Source organism: Homo sapiens, chromosome 17 (assembly GCF_000001405.40).
Source record: "Homo sapiens chromosome 17, GRCh38.p14 Primary Assembly".
In the NCBI taxonomy this organism is placed as follows: Eukaryota; Metazoa; Chordata; class Mammalia; order Primates; family Hominidae; genus Homo; species Homo sapiens.
Genome location: NC_000017.11, coordinates 13,493,303 through 13,514,222, shown reverse-complemented (window position 1 = coordinate 13,514,222; position 20,920 = coordinate 13,493,303). Strand labels below are relative to the sequence as shown.

Here is a 20,920-nt window from a genome sequence, read left to right as displayed (position 1 = left end):
AGGATAAACTGGATGTTTGCTACCTAAAAGACAAGGGATAAATATCATTAATGTAAAGAAAATATTTGAAATCTAAGAAAAAAAATCCCATTAGAAAAAAATAGACAAAACATACATAACCAAAAAATGTCTTTGAAAATCATAATCTTGATAAACATCTGGGAAATGGTCTAATTGAAAACATAAGTATTAAAATATTAAAAAATCATTTCCCTATGCTTACTAGAAGCAATTTAAATATAATACAAAGTGTTAAGGAGTGTATGAGAAAATATATACTTTAATATACTGAAATGGAACCAAAATATTTTAAATAATATATTAAGATTCAAAGACAAAATATAAATACCTTCATAGAAGTTTTACAGTATGGCTCCAAAGCTTTTAAAATACTCATGCCTTCATTTCTACTTCGAGGAAACAATTAAACATGTGAATGAAAATGTTTGACTTTAGAAACAACCCACGTATCCAATAATAAGGGATTCACTAAACACTTTATGGCATTTCATAAAATAGGATACTGCGCAGCAATTTAAAACGAAGTAGATGTGTAATTAATGACAAGAATGGTGTTTCTATTTATTCCAGAGTGCAAAAGGCAGTTTAGAATAGTGTGTGCACAATATAATTGAATTTTATAAATAAGTTATTAACATAAAGCTCTGCATAGAATGAGATCTGCATGGATGTATTTTTAAATGCTATATCGGAGCGGTGGTTGAGTAATTTTACTTTCTAGAATTTTGTGCTTCTCTGGGAATTTTCTAAGTTTTCTGTAATGAACCTTTTTTGCATGTAGAATTTTTTGAATGTTGTTGAAGTTTAATTTTTTTAAAAGCCCATTTGGAAAGCTGCTATTTTCCAAATGGGCTGCTCCCCCCAGAGCCTAGCATGTTTCGTTTTCCTGTGCTGAAAGAAGAGGGATTTCTGTTCCGTCACACAGATGTGAGGCGTCTGCAGCATTTCTGCTGCGGTGGAGCCACCTAGTCCGCGTGAAGTGCCTCATCTGGAAAGTTTAGCTCCTGACAGCCCCAGGCTTTTTTGGAATGGACAGCCTGTCTGCCGGCCTTGTTTTCCTTCACCATGACTTAGCTCTAAGTCCTGGTGTGTTTTCTTCTGGCCCACCCTTTACATTTCAGGTCCCTGAATGAAGGCCCGCATACCCTATGTCTGAACATTTAAAAAGTTATGAATCAAGCTAATAAACTGTTACATGAAATACATCCTATTCTCCTATTTTGACAAATATTCCCTCCTAACAACAAAACAGAAAAAATATATAAATCTATTATTTTTCTATGTCTGAAAGTTGGCAAATGACCAAAAATGACTCAATTTAATTATTATTGCTCATTTGGGCATTCTGTTGATGGGCCAGCAATGTTGGGATGAGTAATAAAACAAAGACATACGCAGATCATGAACTACTACATACTTACGCAGTACAATTTATTTTTTTATCCCTTAATTTCAACAAAATACTAATTATGCTACAATCAAGATTTTGAATACTAATTTTATTCTACTGACAGCAATGGTCTAAAGCAGGAGGTGAAAAATGTTTTATGAAAAGGTCCAGATAATGAATATTTTGCAGGCCACGTGATCTCTGTCACAAGTACCCAGTCCAGTGTTTGTGGTTCAAAAGCTGCCGAGAGGATACATTTGCAAATGGACATGGCTATGTTTCAATAAAACTTTATTGACAAAAATAGCTGACCACCACTGCTATCCAATCCCAGAGCACTTTCATCTCGTCAAAAGGAAACGTCATGCCTGTTAAGCACTCACTCCTATTCCCCACACCCCTCAGCCCTTGGCAACAACTAATCTGCTTTCTGTCACTATAGATTTGCTTATTCTGAATGTGTCATATAAATGGGATCATGCAGTTTTTTTTTTTTTTTTTTTTTTGAGACGGAGTCTCGCTCTGTCGCCCAGGCCGGACTGCGGACTGCAGTGGCGCAATCTCGGCTCACTGCAAGCTCCGCTTCCCGGGTTCACGCCATTCTCCTGCCTCAGCCTCCCCAGTAGCTGGGACTACAGGCGCCCGCCACCGCGCCCGGCTAATTTTTTGTATTTTTAGTAGAGACGGGGTTTCACCTTGTTAGCCAGGATGGTCTCGATCTCCTGACCTCAGGGATCATGCAGTTTAAAAAACTAGCTGGTGTTGGCCTGTGGGCCATAGCTTGATGACCTCTGATCTAAAGGATTTTTGAAGTGCAAGTGTACAAATTTGAATATATTTTGATCCAAAATATGAATTAAAGTAAATGTAAAATTTAAGAAATGAAAATTATTTCCACGTGTATTTAAAAGTTGTCTTTATTTCTAAAATATTCCAAGTTATCTATCAAAATTCAAAGACAAAATATAGATTCTAATTAATAAATATAAAATGTTGAAATAAAAATTATTTTAAATTGACTTCCTAATTTTTAAATTGTAATTAAATCTCAAACATATTTATAAAGTTAGAACTGTTCTCCATTCTAGCTTTTAACATCCATCTAGTTGCCACTAGAAAGAATCAGTACCATGCTTCAGCTGTTTCATCTAGACCTACATATTTATACATGTCAGAGTGGCATCAGTTGCTTCATTATAAAATATGCCCCTCCACCTCCACGTGCGAATGTTGTGATTACCTCCATAATGTGTTAATATCTTCAGGACCGTGAACTGGATTAGGAGGAGAAGCAGAGAAATGAGCACTCAGTAATACCAGGAAATGATACTTTTACTTCAAGAGGCTATTTCATGCTCTCTGATAGGAAGCACTGGATAAGCTACTTAATTTGATTTTTTTTCTCTTAGCTAACTACTTCCCTCACCCAAATCCTTCCCCTAACTTGAAGCAGTGTCTATCTGCTGCAACACAACCCCTGTATGTTCTCAGCATTTGGCCCTTTTGTTTTAAAGACACAGGGCAAGAGGTTTGCAGAAGCATTTCCCTGGGATTTAAATATGAGAGTGGATATTTAGGGTTTCTGGTTGCACTATGCTGATGCTGGAGTGACGGTTTCTGTAATAAATTTGTGTGTGTATGCAATTTGTGGGAACTACCAAATTGTGGGACTTAAAGTCAGAGCCCTTCTTACCTGTGTCCCTATTGGATGGATGGTTTTACTTCTTCGTAGTGGTACGTGGTACAGCTGCACTAAGAGGCTATGTAAAATGCCAACTCCGGGATGGCTTTCCCAAAGTTTGTTTTGTCTGCATGCCTCATTTCATGATGACATTATTATTTTGGAGGTTTTATATCATAAGAGTGATTAATAAGAGATTATTTTGGAAGTTTGTTTTGATCTGTATGAGACAAAATGTTTCTCCTTTTCTCCTGTTCAAAATCAAGGACATGGTGGTGGGTGCCTGTAATCCCAGCTACGCGGGAGGCTGAGGCAGGAGACTCACTTGAACCTGGGAAGTGGAGGTTGCAGTGAGCCAAGATCTCGCCACTGCACTCCAGCCTGGGTCACAGAGCAAGACTTCGTATAAAAAAAAAAAAAAATCAAGGACACTGAGATATTCACACAGGGTGAGGATGGCAAATTTTAGAAAGAATATCCTAGCAGTTCAAGACCCCAGACTCCTGCCAAAATCATAGCTGCAAGTCACTTCTCCTGGTTCAAACTTAAAAGACATATTGATTTAGCACCTACCGTGTGTCCAGAATCTAACTAGTAGAATAAAATAAACTGACAGAAAAATAGCGAATGAACAAACAACCAACAACAAAAAAAACCACCATCGCCAAAATATGACGAAGAACCTTTCTAAAATTTTGATTTATCCTCATCATGTTTCTCTCTCAGCTTCCCCACTCTCCTTAGATTGTTGATTTGCAAGCAAGGAAAAACACGTTTTCCCCCCTTATCTCCAGCTGCACATATGCAAAGACTCGATAATTCCTGGCTGATGAGAGCTCTCTGTTCCGAAGCAGCTGCCTGCAGTTGCACAAAAGCCGATAGCACAGCTCTCAGACTAATCATTTATAAAACTCCTGTCAAGAGCGCAGATCAGCCTAGATGTGGGGTTTGCTGTGGCAGCCACCACAGAGCCAGGAGAGGGGCCTGCCCTTGGCCCAGGCTCTCCCCACTTTGAATAAGAATTCCATTCTCCCCTTCTAGATGCTGACCTGAGAACCAGGTAGGCTGAAGAAAAGCCAGTTCTCCCTTTAATCAGGACTCAACATTTAATGTAACTTTCACAGTTCAGAAGCACTACGAGGGAATTCCACCCCCAGCCCCCAAGATGAATTTTGTTTTTCAGATAATCAAGCCCTGGGCACATTATATTTCTAGAATTCAGGCAGAATAATGTAACATAGAAAGAACAGTGAGCCAAGCATCAGAAGACTCAGAATCTAAGCCTGGCTTTTTGTGTTCTTTCGGCTGAATGACTTAGGACAAGCCCCTTCTCAAACCTTTCAACATCTGTGAAATGAAGCAGCTGGATTAGGGGATTTCTAAGGTTCTTTCCAGTTCTAATTTTTAGTGGTGCTGCTTGGAAGAATACAGTCCTTGCACTTTCCTATCTCTGGTAGATTCTAGATTCTTCTCTTTTTTTCTTCTATCTTCTTGCTCTCTTCTCTGTCTCCTTGTAACCTATCAATCTCTCTCTGTCTCTCTCTCGCACACAAATACACACACACTTCTAAGGGCTTGTAAATATCGATCAGGCTTTAGATCCTAACTAACTTAATTACATTTTATTTCTGCTGTGTATTTGTCATCATTTTTATGGACACATTAAGAATAATTCTTTAAGACATTTCTATTTTGACTGATTTTACATGGCCCCTCATTTTACTGAAATACACTCACTTTTTCATTCTTGTGCTTTTAATTTTTCTCTATTTATTGTTCAGTTGAAATGAACCTTCGAGTTTGTTTGTTTCCCAGGGTTACATGGGTGTTAAGTTTTTTAAACCATTGCATATCTGAAAATGTCATTTTCATATGTCATCAAATGAAATAAAACTTAGCTGAGCATAAAGGTCTTTTTCCCTTTAAGCTCTTCTCCACTTTGGGCACTTATTACTGAAGGCTAAAGCCCAACTCCCCCGTCTCCTCCTTCATTTGTCAGTAGCCTAGGTGTCATGTTATTTGTTTCTCTTTCTGTTTAAATGCCAGGAAGTACTTCCTTTTTTCTCAAACTCTAAAAACTTGCTAGTATTTTCAAATTGTGGATCTCTGCCAGGGCCAGGACCAGGGTGAGGCAAGATTGGCACTTAGGCTAAAAAAAAAAAAAAAATTAAAGAGATGCTTACCCTCAAAGTAGGAAATATTACTTTTTGCTTGGTACACAAAGAATGTCGGAAGTCCAGAGATGGCCCCACGGTGGGGAAGTACAACATATTCCTACCTTTCCCAGGTGGTTTCTGAGGCTCTGATCATCTTACAGATTCTGACATAATTAGGTTGTTTGTGAATTTTAGTTTTCAGTGTTGTAAAGTTATTTCTTTGGATATTATTTGATACTTTGATAGGACATTGATAGAAGCACACCGGCTCCTAGGAGACAGAAACCACTTTAAAACAGAATTTGGGACAATGCCTACCGTGTTAGAAATGGTATTTTACATCTTATGAATACATGAGTTCCCTCAATGAAGTTAACATAGAAAGGGGGATCAGGGGTTGAAGCAATGAGCCTTGTAAGTTACTGGTTTATTTTTACTGTTTCTAAGAGTCAATGAAAGAGAAAATGTGTGGAATTGCTTGGGAAACTCTAAGATCCAACAGAAACATAAAGGATTCTTACTTGAATTTATGAGCCCAAAACACTCTCGCCCCTTGTCTTCCAGGAGGACTCTTTGATCTGACCTGACTACAGATGGATTCGTTATCTTTTCATGAGGTTCCCCAAAATTAACGATCAAGAGTCCTTGAGTTTTCTCTCCTCCTCTGGAGTCCAGGGAACCCTGTGCTGTTTTCTTGAAGTAAGCTTTGGTACATATTGTGTCATAAAGACTAGTGAGAATAAGAATCAATTTTTTTTTCTCTTTCTTCTTTACCTGGTCGTTAAAAGTTTTAAAAGGAGTCTGCTATCAATGGCGCTGGTCAGTGTCCTGGGCTCTAACCCTGATGTTTAGCTTATCTTGATGATGATTTGGTTCTTAGAATTGCATATCCAGATTCGGTTGGTGTGGGAGCTGCTTCAAAAATATAAGTCTTCCTCTCCCACAGAAGCCAATTCAAACAACAAGTAAAGGGAGTTTTCTTTCCATCCTTATAAGTCACGTTTTCAGAGGGGTCCCACATAACAACAGCAGGAAAAGAAATATTGATGTGAGTGGGCTCGGCCCAAGGGATGGCGAGCTGACAGCACAGAGAGTTCCCAGCAGTTTCCCCTGCTCCCAGACACACACCATCGAGGACCCACAGGAACTACCTTCTTGCCATGGCCATGAAAAGAGCATGTTTTTCTAGCATGTTCTGCTGCCAGAGGCTTCCAAAAACAGACACAGTTCTGTTTGGCTGTATAGACTTAAAAAAAGTACATGTACATGGGCCAGATTTATTTATTCCTCAAGGCACACTACCTTTGCATTACAACTCAGGGACTTCCCTTTGCAGGATGTTCTTCCCTTGCAGAAGATAGCCTTTGAAAAACGTGTGATATATATTACCTGTTCGGAAGATTTCAGGAAGGGTGATTTGCATTCAGAGATGGATAGGTAAAGAATGCATTTAACACTCATATGTTTTGGCAGAATGTCAAAGATGGCCAGGAACATCAACCAAAAGAGTCACTCTGATGTTCCCTGGCTGTTTGGGAAGGTTGAAAGAATATGCACTTTGGAGCTAGATGGACCTGGATTTTCATTCTAGACCTATTAGCAACTATGTGTGCTTGGATAAGTCACATTATCTCTCTGAGCCTATTTCCCCATCTGTGAAATGAAGGGAATAATTCTAGCTCTTCATTTTAGTTGTGAGACTCAAGAAATAATACATCAGACCTTGTTCTGTGGTAAATGCTCAGTATGTATTCATTTTCTTCTGTCTTCATGATGCTCTTCCCAAGGACCCTGAACTTGAATTTCTGGCTGCCCTGGATCTATTATTTTTAATGTAGTCCTATCCATGACTATGAACTTCATCTTCTGACTTTGACATCTTTTTTTGTTTTTTTTTTTTTTTTTGGAGACGGAGTCTAGCTTTGTCACCCTGGCTGGAGTGTGGTGGCGCAATCTTGGCTCACTGCAACCTCTGCCTCCCGGGTTCAAGCGATTCTCCCACCTCAGCCACCTGAGGAGCTGGGATTACAAGGCTCCACCCCCAGGCCTGGCTAATTTTTTTTTTTTTTTTTTGTATTTTAGTAGAGACAGGGTTACAGCATGTTGCCCAGGCTGGCCTCGAACTCCTGAGCTCAGGCGATCCACCCGCCTCGGCCTCCCAAAGTGCTGGGATTACAGGCGTGAGCCACCGCTCCCGGCCTCCTGACTTTGACATCTCATTTCAACGTGTCAGGCACAGAGGAAGCATCGCATAGACATGGGTCTCCTCCATCACATGCCTTGTGGAATATAGTGAGACCTCTCTGCTCATAGATTTCCTGGTCTTTCTGCTGCCCCCAAGCCTTAGGGATATGTCAAGTTAGCCTTCATTTGAATTAACCTCAGCACTTTCTCTTGCATCAGTTATTTGAACTGCATTCTTTCAGATCTCATTGATTTTGAAATCAATTCCGTTGATGCAGAATTGCTCTGTGTAATTATTTATACAAATCTCTTGATGTGATTGGTGGAGCCTTACTTCAGAGCACAGCAGCATGATGCTACGCAGAGCTCTAAATATGACAAGTTAAAAATGAATTAAAGTCCCACTGCCTACATGGAATCTTAGAGGTGGAAAGTCCTACAGACATTGAGGACAATAAACTTTTTTTGTTTATGAAGAAATCGAGGCCAGGAGAACGAAAGTGATTTGCCCAAGATCACACAGCTTATTAATAGCAAAATCAAGGCTGAAATCCTTATTCCTATTCCTGCTTTTGAGTTTCCTATAAAACTATGTTGTCTTCATGGAGATACATGATCCATCTGTGTCATAGTTTAGAATAAAACTAATACTATTTTGTCTCCATTAGAAACCTCATGCAGAAACCCTAACTTTAAAAAAAAAAAAAAAAAAGTAACTCCAACTCTACTGAAACAGAAATCCAATTTTTTTTTTTTTTTTTTTTGAGATGAAGTCTTGCTCTGTTGCCCAGGCTGGAGTGCAGTGGCGAGACCTCGGCTCACTGCAACCTCCGCCTCCCGGGTTCAAGTGATTCATTCTCCTGCCTCAACCTCCTGAGTACTGGGATTACAGGCACGCGCCACCACACCCGGCTAATTTTTGTATTTTTAGTAGAGACGGGGTTTCACCATGTTGGTCAGGCTGGTCTCGAACTCCTGACCTGGTGATCTGCCCACATCTGCCTCCCAAAGTGCTGGGATTATAGGCGTAAACCACCATGCCCAGCCCAAATTTTCTTTTTTAATGGGGAGAGGGCACCACTTCCTTCTTCAAAATAATTGTTCACTTTAATAAAATTTTTATTCTTTTCCGCCTTTTTTTTTTGAAGATGTCTACATTGTTTCAGTCATAAATCAGCTATCTAGCCTCACCGATTATACTCTAAATATTCCTTTTGTCCTCACCCACCTTGTCTTTCCCACTATCAGCACCCTAATCCTGGTCTTTAACTCCTCGAGCTTGGATTCTGTTGGAAGAGCCCCCTAAAGTATTAAACCACCTGCAGTCCTTTCCTGCTCCAAACCTGCACACTGTTTCAGATTTAATATATCACTGACGTTAATCAAGTCATCATCTTTTTGGTCTAATTTCATACAGCTCCTCAGTTCAAGCAGACAAATTTCTTCGTCTCATCTGTATTCAATTCAGGATTTAGTTCTTTCAGGATTTTCACAGCTACTTTCTGGATAACTCTCTCAGGTTCCCATGTTTTCCCTCTGTCGAATTTGCTCCATTGGAGCCGTCGTCTGTATACTATTTTTGTAATCCCCTTTGGCTGCTGACTTTCTCTTATCTGCTGCAATAGAAATACTCTCGCACTAGGCATTGGGAGGACCACCCATTACCTTCCATACCCTGATTGTGAACATGTCAGCATACTGCTCAGTCTCTCTGAACCTCAGCTTCCTTGTCAGAAAAATTAGGGAATGTAATTACCTACCTTATCTCTTTTTTGGCTGAGTAAAGATTAGCTGAGAAAGTCGTCACCCAAATGTTTTGCAAGTATAACTTATTCTTCAGTTCTCTCTCTTCTGAGTTCACACTCTTGAAACACATCCTCCAGGTTACACTGCACACCACTGTGCTCATAGTGGCCCATGTGAGGGGCAGCTGCTGTCCTTATGATTTGCCTGAGGTGAGGGAGAAGTGGTCTTGGAGAGGACGCCTGACTCCTAGGTATATGAGCTCCACTCCTTTACCTTTGTGATCTGAATTTACAGAAATTGGAAACATAGTGGGCTTCGCAAATACCCTTTAAAAAAATCATGCTTTTCTTGGAGCATTATGGGATATTGGTCCATTTATTTTTTATAAGCATAGTAAAATCTTTATTCAAGTACAACATAAATAGAAAAAAGGACACAAATCATGGGACACAGCTCAAGAAATTTTCACAAAGTGGATACGCTTCTGTAGCCAGCACCCGGGTCATGAATTGGGACTTTTCCTTCAGCCTGGAAGCCCCTCTCATGCCCTCTTCTAGACACCGATCCCCCTAAGGGTAACCACCATTTTGATATTGAATGGGATAGATGAGTTTGGCCTGTTTAAGAACATTTTTTATAAAGGAAATCATACAGTGTTTCCTTTTTTGTGACTGGCTGTGTTTGTTAGCATTGTAATGTTCACCCACAGGTTTTTTGTTTGTTTGTTTGAGATGGAGTCTCGCTCTGTCGCCCAGACTGGAGTGCAGTGGTGTGATCTCAGCTCACTGCGACCTCCACTTCCTGGGTTCAAGTTATTCTCCTGACTCAGCCTCCCGAGTAGCTGGGACTTGTAACAGGTGCCCGCCACCACACCCAGCTAATTTTTGTATTTTTTGGTAGAGACGGGGTTTCACCAGTTGGTCAGGCTGGTCTTGAACTCCTGACCTCATGATCCACCCACTGCGGCCTCCCAAAGGGCTGGGATTACAGGTGTGAGCCACCACACCCAGCCCACTCACAGGTTTTAAGTCATTCATTCTGTGTGCTGTTTAAGATCTCAGTATGTGTCTACGTGCGTCTATTTTGGGTGGACATTTGGAGAGCTTGAATTGGGGACTATTAGGATTGTCTGTGAACATTCGTGAACATGTCTTTTGGTGAACATATATATGATTTCCATGAGTATAGCCCTGGCCATGAAATGGCTGGGTCACAGTGAATGCGCTCGTTTGGTAGATAGTGCCAAAGAGTTTTCTAAAATCACTGTGCCAGTTTACTCTTTAACCACCAAAGTGCCAGTTCCACATTCTCACCCAAACTCAGAATTCTCTGTGGTTTTTATTCTAGATGACCAGTGGGTGTGTCATAGTATGGTATTGTGTTTTAATTTACATTTTCCTGATGACCGATGAAGTTCAGTGCCTTCTCGTGTGTTTATTGATTACTTACTTTATTTATTTTTCATTTCATTTTTAGTTGACACCTAATAATTATACATACTTACGGGACACAGAGTGATATTTCAATATATATACAATGTAATAATTAAAGCAGGGTAGTTAGCATATCCATCACCTCAAACATTTATTACTTTTTAGTGTTGTGAGCATTCAAAAATCTTCTCTTCTAGCTTGTTGAAAATATACACGAAATTGTTGTTACCCACATTCACCCTACAGTGCTACAGAACACTAGAACTTATTCCTCCTATCTAGCTGTAATTTTGTGGATACTGTATTTTGTTAACAAAACTTTACTTCCTTCAAAAGTGCTAATTCCAGCTTTTTGCCTGTTTTTCTTCTATGCTGTGTAGCTATTTTTACTTATTGATTTATAGGAGCTCTTTTTTTTTCTTTTTTTTTTTTTTTTTTGAGATGGAGTCTTGCTCTCTTGCTAGGCTGGAGTGCAGTGGCCTGATCTCAGCTCACTGCAACCTCTACCTCCCAGGTTCAAGCGATTCTGCCTCAGCCTCTCGAGTAGCTGGGACTACAGGCACACGCCAACACGCCCAGCTAATTTTGTATTTTTAGTAGGGATGTGGTTTCACCATGTTGGCCAGGATGGTCTCGCTCTCTTGACCTCATGATTGGCCTGCCTTGGCCTCCCAAAGTGCTGGGATTATAGGCGTGAGCCACCACCCCTGGCCCTATTTTTTTTTTTTTTTCATTATAGTTACTCCTTTAAGAAATTAACAAAACTTTACCTCCTTCAAAATCATCAAGATGTTCTACGTTTCCTTCCAAAAGGTGATTGTTTCACCACTTATATTTGTATCTCCAGGTGATCTGGAATTAATTTTTCCTAAATAGCCAGAGGCAAATGCCAAGATTTATTTTTCCATATAAATAGAAAATTGACCAAATATCATTGGTTAAAAATAAAATGGGGAAGGGTAATAGGGTAATTGTTTTTTGGAAGAAGTACTTCCAGAGAGGGCCAGTAGCAGTTCCAGAGGGAGGGTGAAGGAGCAAAAGACAACATGAGGGCAATGAGAATTCAGGGCAAATGGCCCAAATTGATAAGAAGAGTGAGGCACATGGGGGAAGTTCTTTTTATTCTTTCTTGCATATATCGGATGCACCATGCATATGTGTTGTTGAGTGTCATGGAGAGCTCTCCCAGGTGGTTCCCTGATCATAGAGGTGGCAGTGGTGCAGCCAGTGCTAGAGTGCTTGGCTTGCCTCTTGGACCATCGTTAAGGCACAGCCATGGAGGCAGGTCTGTCCCCTCAGTAGTGTGGCAGTGGGAAAGTCCTCTGGGTCATTTTAGTACTCCCACCATTAATTCCTGACCTGGTTGAAGGCTGGGGTAGAAAACAGAGGACAACTTAGCATGTGTATCGTGGTTCCTGCTTGACCATAACACTTCCTGCACCACAGACAGCAGCTCTAACAACCCTAGGCCCCGAGACCCTTACCCAGGGTGACAGATCAGATCCAGAATGGAATTCCCTAGCACGGTAGAGTGGCATGATGTTTGAGCCAGATAGGAAAATTGCCAAGCAGTTTCCTTCCTGGCACAACTGCACCCATGCCATGGAAGGAAATGAAATCCCCTTAAAAACCGAGCCCATCTCTCTCACACCATAATAAGATAATAAGCTAGGCTCTGCCCTTCCAAATAATGTAGCCAGCTCATGGCCTTCAAACCAGGCATCCTCACTGTCTGAATGACAAATGGTCAGGTGTGTCAGGAACATGGCAAAGAGTTCTAACTCTCTGAACCCTTTGTTAGCTGAACTAAGTGGGGTTCTCCTGAAGTTGGGAATTCAGAACACTGGGTGTCACATTCTTAAGAAGAGTGCTTCCATGTATTCCCTGTAGTAATAATGGCCATGTTGACACTTCATTACAGTCCAGGAATTTTGAACCTTTGGCTTGATTTTCCTGGTAAGGTGAATAAACTGAGCATAGAGATGCTAAATTACTATCTAGTGATCATGCAGCAGGCAGTGGGCATGGACCACAAACCTCGTTTTTATATTTGAGATCAGCTGCACAAAAATCTCATAAATTATTGTATTTCCCTTTTAGCAAAACCAGAGCCCCCTTCAGCAGTACCTTGTAATGTTTAATTAGCCGTAAAGCAAAAAGACTCTTTTGTCTAACTAATTTCTATCAATGCCACTGAAATGTTTGTCCTCCCTTAAGTTCTTTTTTTTAAAAAAATTGTAGTAAAATACACATAACATAAAATTTACCATTTTAACCACTGTTAGGTTCAGTGGTGTTAAGTACATACACGTTGTTATGTGATTAATCTCCAGAACTCTTCTAATCTTAGAAAACACATAACATAAAATTTACCATTTTAACCGTTGTTCGGTTCAGTAGTGTTAAGTACATACACGTTGTTACGTGATCGATCCCCACAACTCTTTTAATCTTACGAAACTCAAACTTCATACCTACTGAACAATAGTTCTCTGTTCCTCTTCCCCACAGCCCCTGGAAACCACCATTCTACTTGCTGTCTCAATGAATTTGAGTACCCCAGATATATCATATAAGTGAACTCATACAGTATTTGTCTTTTTGTCACTGGATTATTTCACTTGGCATAATGTCCCCAGGGTTCATCTATGTTGGAGTGTATGTCAGAATTTCTGAATAGTATTCCATTGTATGCATAAACCACATTTTGTTTATCCGTTCATCTGTCAATACACACTTGTGTTGCTTCCACTCTTTGGCTATTGTGAATTCTCTTTGAGTTCTATGGGGAGAAGAACAACTGTGTATAACCTACCTTGTAATAATTCTTAATTCGCTTGTGAAATTTCTGCTTATCTTTGCCTCCCTCAGGACAAAACAAATACATTTCTATATTTTTTCCTTATAGTGTTGGTCTCAACCCATTTCCTCATCTTCATACCTACTGTAAATGTCTCCAAATCCTGTTCACTATTCAGAAGGGAGGTTGGAATGGTCTACACTACTTAGCTTGGAAAGAAAGTTCTCCTAGGACCTATGCCTCCCATCATCCAGTTGAATTTCTCCCATACTTCTTCACCTGTTGTGTCTTCAGGCAAACCTCACGTGATTTATCAGTGCCCACACCTTCGTGCTCCCATAGCCTGCCTCATATTTCTTCAGACCTTTTATAATACTGTAATAGATCTTTCACTACCCATCCCGGGCCCCAGTTTTTACACAAAGCACAGTCATAGTATTAGGTTGGTGCAAAAGTAATTGTAGGTTTTGCCATTAAAAGTGTTAGGTTGATGCAAAAGTAATTGCGGTTTTGCCAATAATTGCAAAAGCCACAATTACTTTTGCACCAACCTAATTTGTGCCTTACTCAGGTAAAGAAGAACAATTTCCAAGTTATAGACATTTTGAAATGCAGTATTCCAACATACACCTGCCTTTTGTTTTATATGACAGTGTGGTGCTTTGTTGAACGTTAAAATCCAGTAAGATTTGCAATAAAAATGTATGAAAAAAATTTATCCCCTTCATTGACTTGTTTGAAAAAAAATTTTATATCCCTTTTATTGACTTTTTTGAAAAAAATAATTTAAGATTGCAATTTAAAGAATTCTGTTGTGAGTCCTGTTACAAAGCAACCATTTTCTACAATGTAAGCTTGATTAGGATTTATTTAGACTATCGTTTCTTTATTTTTGCAGAAAGAAGCTTGCAGGTAGCTTATAGTTAAGCCCAACTCTCCACACCCATCCCATGCTAAATCAGTCAGTTTTCCTCATCCTGCAAATGACAGTAATGAATGTGTTTTTCTTTTGCAATCCTATTTTAGCTGTTTCCTCTTCAAACTCCTCTTATGTTGGATAGCTCTTTTCCCTACTCTATTGAGATTATTTAAAATATGGTTCCTTGTTTTAGTGGTTTTAGCAGTGTTTCCTCTGGCCCAGCGCAATCTATAGCCTCAATCTCTGCAAAAGTCTCCTACAGCTCTTCCCCACCCCAATCCCACCCATATACCCAGCCCCTTCCCCAACAGGCCAACCAGGAGCTCCCAAGTGAAGTATTATTCTCTCTCTATTTTACTGGTCAAAATTTGAAATAAAGTAGTTAAAAGTCAAAGATATATAGAAAAAAAGAGAAAGTAATGATGGCTTTTTCAAAAAAAAATCTATAAATACTCTTTCTTATCACTTCAGTGTAGTTGATGATTGCTTTCCAAGCCCAAAACTTTTTCACGCATCTGATTAAATTTCCTTCACTGAGAAATTCCAGCCATCTCTGGATAGATCTCCTGGCTCACCTTAGACAAGAGTAACATAAGCTTTTATATTAGGCTGGCCTAGCCAACTTTTCAGTTCCACAGAAGGAGTCACAGAGGGATGAGTTCTATGCATTCATGTCACACCGCGGAATCTGCATCACATAGGTGGTTATGCCAATGTGTGTCTCCTTTGTGTCAACACCAAACTCTCTGGTGTTCACGTACTCTTACCCAGACCTTAATGTGTGCCTAAGAGGTGGGTAATGAGGTCCATTAAGAATTATTTTGAAAAAGGAAGTTCACATTTATTTCAAAAATTAAAAGCTCAGAAACAGAAAGCAAATGTCTATAAAAAGTAAAGATAAACTGACTGAAATGACAAAAATAAACCCCCCACCCAAAAAAAAAAAACAAAAATAGGAGGAAATCTGAGTATGGGCTAAGGGAAAACTTCCCCTTCAACTCCTGAAGGGTTGCTGAAAATCACTGATGAGAGGCCGATTCACAGGAGAAAAGGCATACACGTTTATTACTGTGTATGCAAGAACTTTCAGGGTGAAGACCCAAAGATACAGAGGAAATTGTCCATTTTTATGCTTGGGCTTAACTAAATTTGAACAGTTGTATAGAAATATGACTGGACAAAAAGGGTATGATCTAACCCAAATAGACCCAGTTTGGGGAAGCCTGCAAGGCCTCTCTGTCTAGATTCTTCTTGGCCTCTGCACATGCCTTCCTTCCTTCTAGGTACGGGGCAGGACCCTCTCAGGAATGAAGGTCTTATGACCTACAGTCAAACGGGATAGGTCAGATAATTTCTTTATGGACAGTTTTTATACAGAAAAGTAGAAGGAAAGTTAGAGTAATGTTTTTAGGTTTTATGGCTGGCTTTGGGGAAAAGGAGTTCCGATCTGTATGACCTGCCTTGGGGGAGAGAGATTTTAGTTTCTGTGGTTAGTCTTTGGTAAGAGTAGGATTGAAAGACAGAGGGGCAAGAGAAGTTCAGAGAAAAACTTCTGCTTCTGAGGCTGCTTTTGAGGCCTTCACTTTGGAGTACTGTTTTCTGAGTCCCAGTACCTGCATCATTAAAACTAAGGAAGTATCGGGGCCATCAGATTGCCCAAGAGATTGAGGAATTTGTGCTAGAAATAATGCAGATGGGAGCAGGAATACTTATTAATCCATTAATAGGATGTTTGTGAATGACTTTAAAATAATCTAACTGGCCTGCTGGGGCAGCAGAAATGAGGGGATTTATAAATAAAATAGGCCTTTATGAAGTTTTGAAGCTGGATGTGAGGTGTTTGAGACTGATTTGACAATTTTCTCTGCTTTTGTTTATGTTTGACATGTCTCACAAAATATAGTTAGCCCAGATAGTGTAGGTGGGACAAAATCACAGGGAATTAATAACTGCAAGCTCCCATGATGCAAAGTGTATCTTTTCCTTGCAGATGCGAAATAAAAACTAATCACAAATTCCATGAACAAAAGTAACAAATCTATCATCAGGATTAAAGATACAATATAATCCTAGATAATGCCTACATTAAAAGAGAAGTCAAAACTACAAAATGAAATAACTAAAGATCTCTATCTATCCAACTGTCTGTAACTGTCTCAACAAATAGTGCATTTAATTGCAGTATACTTAAGTTGGAAGAACAAATAGATTTGATCTCTCCTGTTCATGTGTTTTGACTGGCCCTGACTGAGGCCAGTAGAAAGCCTGCTTGAACAGAGAAGCAATATCTGCTGTATCAAGACTCCAACTGGATTTTTGTTTTTAATATGATAAAGTGATATCTCATTTGTCAGGAGGAATAAACGGACCAGAATCATCAAGGACATGTTGAACAACAGAAAGTCAGAATTTACTTTGGTGTACATGAAAGTATACTATCACACGATAATAACTTATAATTGGGCCAATGTAGAAAGGAATCAACATATTTAGAATATGATAATGATGGCATTTCAAATCATTAGGCAAAAGATGGATTCTTTAATAAGTCTTGTTTGTTGCAGGAAAACTCAGTAATTACAAACATAAGTATTTTGTGTAATATGCTACATTATGTTGAATATGATTGCTTTGTTTATAAGAAAACTACAGGAAGGGCTCAGGATATTTTAATACTATCTCATAGCAGTATAATTGTGTTTATGACAATATTCTAATTCACCTGAAGATTTTGACCAAAGTTATTTTCTTACAGCATTGTGGATAAACAATAATAAAACACAGAAACTTAACGTGGCATTTATTCGGTGCCAGGCAGTTTTCTAAGCTGTCGAGGTATATTAACTCATTTAATCATCACAAAACTGTATGCAATGGGTAATATTATTATTCTCCGTTTAATACACGAGGAATCTGAGGTGCGGGGCTCGTTGTGCGACGTCACCATCAGATGTCTAGCAAGTGGGGGGTTGCGGGGGCTGGAATTGCGGCCTGGCTCCAGCGTGTACTTGACAGTCTCTCCTGGGACTGAGCTCTCTCTGCACATCTCTGACATGCCTTTTTGCGTTTCTCAGGGACCTGATGCCCAGAACCCTGGACGGGCAGATCACCATGGAGAAGACGCCCAGTTACTTCGTCACGCGGGAGGCCCCCGCGCGCATCTCGGCCATGTCCAAGGACACCAAGCTCATCGTGGTGGTGCGGGACCCGGTGACCAGGGCCATCTCGGACTACACGCAGACGCTGTCCAAGCGGCCCGACATCCCCACCTTCGAGAGCTTGACGTTCAAAAACAGGACAGCGGGCCTCATCGACACGTCGTGGAGCGCCATCCAGATCGGCATCTACGCCAAGCACCTGGAGCACTGGCTGCGCCACTTCCCCATCCGCCAGATGCTCTTCGTGAGCGGCGAGCGGCTCATCAGCGACCCGGCCGGGGAGCTGGGCCGCGTGCAAGACTTCCTGGGCCTCAAGAGGATCATCACGGACAAGCACTTCTACTTCAACAAGACCAAGGGCTTCCCCTGCCTGAAGAAGGCGGAGGGCAGCAGCCGGCCCCATTGCCTGGGCAAGACCAAGGGCAGGACCCATCCTGAGATCGACCGCGAGGTGGTGCGCAGGCTGCGCGAGTTCTACCGGCCTTTCAACCTCAAGTTCTACCAGATGACCGGGCACGACTTTGGCTGGGATGGATAACCATATAATTTAAAAAGAAAAAAAAAATCAAAATATAATATATTTTTTTACCAATCGGTAGAGAAGAGACAGTTTAATATTTGTGCTGAAAATATGTTTCAGTATTTTTTTCAATGAATGTTAAGAGATTGTTCTCACTCCCGCCCCATCTTAATGTATAACCAACACCAAACACGTGGATCAACAGAAAAGGAAAATTTCACTCGTCTAAACACTTTCAATTTTCAGTTTTTATTTTATGTTCTATATACCCAGTCATAAAGTATAAGCATCAGTTGTCATTAAAAGTTTTCAGAAAATCTTGAGGTTAAACATCTCTCTCTCTTTTTTTAAAATACAAGGCCCTGATAAAATTGATATCTATCCTTATATTTTTCTCCCTTTTTCCCGTGCCACTTTTTCTTAAATTATTTCCCAGTTAGTATTATCATATGTTTGTACCCGTCACAGTTTTCATAGTGCTTTCAAATACACCTTTTTGATCATTAAAATAAAAAAATAAATCTTGCTCTGTTGTATAAGATCACAATAGGTAAATATTATTATCCCCATTTTACAGAAAGGAAAACTGAGTCTTTGGGAGGTGAAATAATGTATCTAAAGGTCAAATGTTGGATGGACCCTGGACAAAATTCCATCTTCCACTTGTTCCCTATTTCATGTCACTTTTTCCAGGGAGAATGGAAAAGAAGACATCTGCACCTTTAGAAATGGTTAGGTAGTTTTCAGATGATATGAAAAGGGAAAGAGAGCCCCTTGTTTTCTAAATTCCCAGGCTACCCCTCATGGCACCCAGTCTCATTACATAGTTGTGTCCAAGAAAACCACTGAGACCTGGACACAACCTCTCTTAAGAGCCAGTCTTGCCTCTTGGCTATTTAAAGTACACTGAGATATGGAAATCTTGACTGATGAATGCTTGATTGAATTGGAGAGGAATTATTGGATTCTTGCATGGAGGACAAGGTGGCCAGCCACACTAGGGGTAGCACAAGATGTGTTAGGAACGTAACTTACCCATTTGTTGATTTAATTGACTTTAAAAAAAAAAAAGAAACAGATTTCAATTAGCACTTACAGGTATGAGTCTCATTTGTTTTTTAGTTTACCTCTTTTTAAAGAGAGAAAACCTACCTTTCTTTGTAATATCTCACTTCTAACTTTGGAGCTAGTACTCTGAAAGAATTAATTAGCAGTTCGTTTAAAATGTTTTTATTTTTCATGGATGGAGGACTATCATTTTGTCACTTTATTCCCCCCTCCCACTTCCTATTTATACCATTTATAACCTAATGTTCAGTAATATTTGGAAAAATATTCTAGGAAATGCATTTGTGGGTAAAATGGTGGCTTTTCCTCTTCTCTCGTCTGTTTCTGCCCATCCCCCATTTAAATCACTCAAATAAATCAATAGTTTATTAACAGTATTCCTTTCCTCTCTGAGTGGGTATTAACAAGATTAGCATTAATGGGAATTAAATTGGTTTAGAGAGGAACACATATGCACGAAATATATAAAACATTTATAATTAGCCTGTCAGCAACATTTTATTAGAAATTTAAACCCAAGAGGAAAAATGTCTTCTATTTCATGGAAGTTTTCTTTATCTGCCAAAATTTAAACGACCAGACACTCTAAAATAATATTCTTTTTCTTCTTTAATGTTGTCAATCAAAAGAAACTAAAGTTGTTTTAAAATATGCAGTACAATTGTACATTTACCATAGCTGCTGCATTAGGTGATGTAAATATTTCTTGAGAAGCTTAACACAGGATTAAAATGAAGGAAAAAATATTTTAAGTGTTAGATATTTTGTCATTGCTCCAAATCTTTGGATTTATCTGTTAATATCCCATTTATAGAAGTTAAGTAAACCCCAAATCCAGGTCACCTTTTTTCAGTTGATTTCCTTCATGTCTATGCTCTCAATTTCCCAGTGCCACAGACTGTTTTTATTCTACTTGAATCACTAGCTGCAACAAGATACTCATTTTAAACTCTTGTCATCATTTCTCTTAGCTCATTTTGTTTGTACAACTGATTCTTTTGTAAGTGTTTGCTTGGCATTATGCAAAAGTGGCTTGCACAAAGAAACAATTGCATTCTGCAACCTTCATTTTTTTAATGTGAAAGAAATAAAAGAACAGAATTGAATGCAAAGGATCCCTTTTTGAACATAGATATTTTTGTTCATATTATTTTAAAAATGAACGACTATGGAAAACACCGGGAAAATCTTCAAGCTTCTGTGACTTCCTAAGAGTGTTGGAAGTAATAAGTCCCAGCAAAATGTATAAAGATTTAGAGTCAGTATTCTCTAACAGGAATGTCCATTCATTTCTGCCTCTATATAGTACTCGTCCCTGCTGTGCATGAAGTTGGCCTCACATTTATTTTGTCCATTTAGCTACACCAAATAATAGGCTTTGACCTTGATTGGAACATCTTAGCGTCCATTCTCTGAGCTGTCTGCTCCAAAGCCATGCCTTCCAATCCCCTTCCTGTTTCTTAGAGGTAGAGTGTTGTCTTTCAAGAAGAATATCTAGAAAATATCTACAGCTTCGTTTCAAGCAGTTTGCTTCCAAGATCACATCTGCAGTGTATCCATTCTCCAGAGAACTTAGTCACTTCTAGGGAAATGAATTTTATTTCAATAAATGGAGATTAATATGCTTCTAGAGAATGGATATTGATTATTCTAGAAATATTAATCCCATTCTAATTTTCTTATTTTCAAAGGATCTTCAAAGCTGAAATCAACTTCAATGGTCATTTGGATCAAAGCCCTGTTCAGCACCTGAATCCTTTTGTTAACTTGTTATGCAGGGGGTTAAAACATTGACGTGTCTGTAAATTCGTAACTCTTGATATTACAGTTGAAAAGAAAGAGGA

At 39.4% G+C, this 20,920-nt stretch overlaps 1 protein-coding gene across 3 annotated transcripts in view; it reads left to right on the top strand.

The window, feature by feature from the left end:
* The window catches only part of HS3ST3A1 (heparan sulfate-glucosamine 3-sulfotransferase 3A1), a 107,898-nt gene extending 87,707 nt beyond the window's left edge, over positions 1 to 20,191 (top strand). For all 3 annotated transcript variants that reach the window (NM_006042.3, XM_011524114.4, XM_047437228.1), the window contains one exon: positions 17,405 to 20,191. In NM_006042.3, coding sequence (NP_006033.1) covers positions 17,405 to 18,026 — 622 coding nt within the window. In that variant the 3' untranslated portion in view covers positions 18,027 to 20,191. The remainder of the gene's footprint in view (positions 1 to 17,404) is intronic.
* Positions 20,192 to 20,920: the final 729 nt, after the last annotated feature.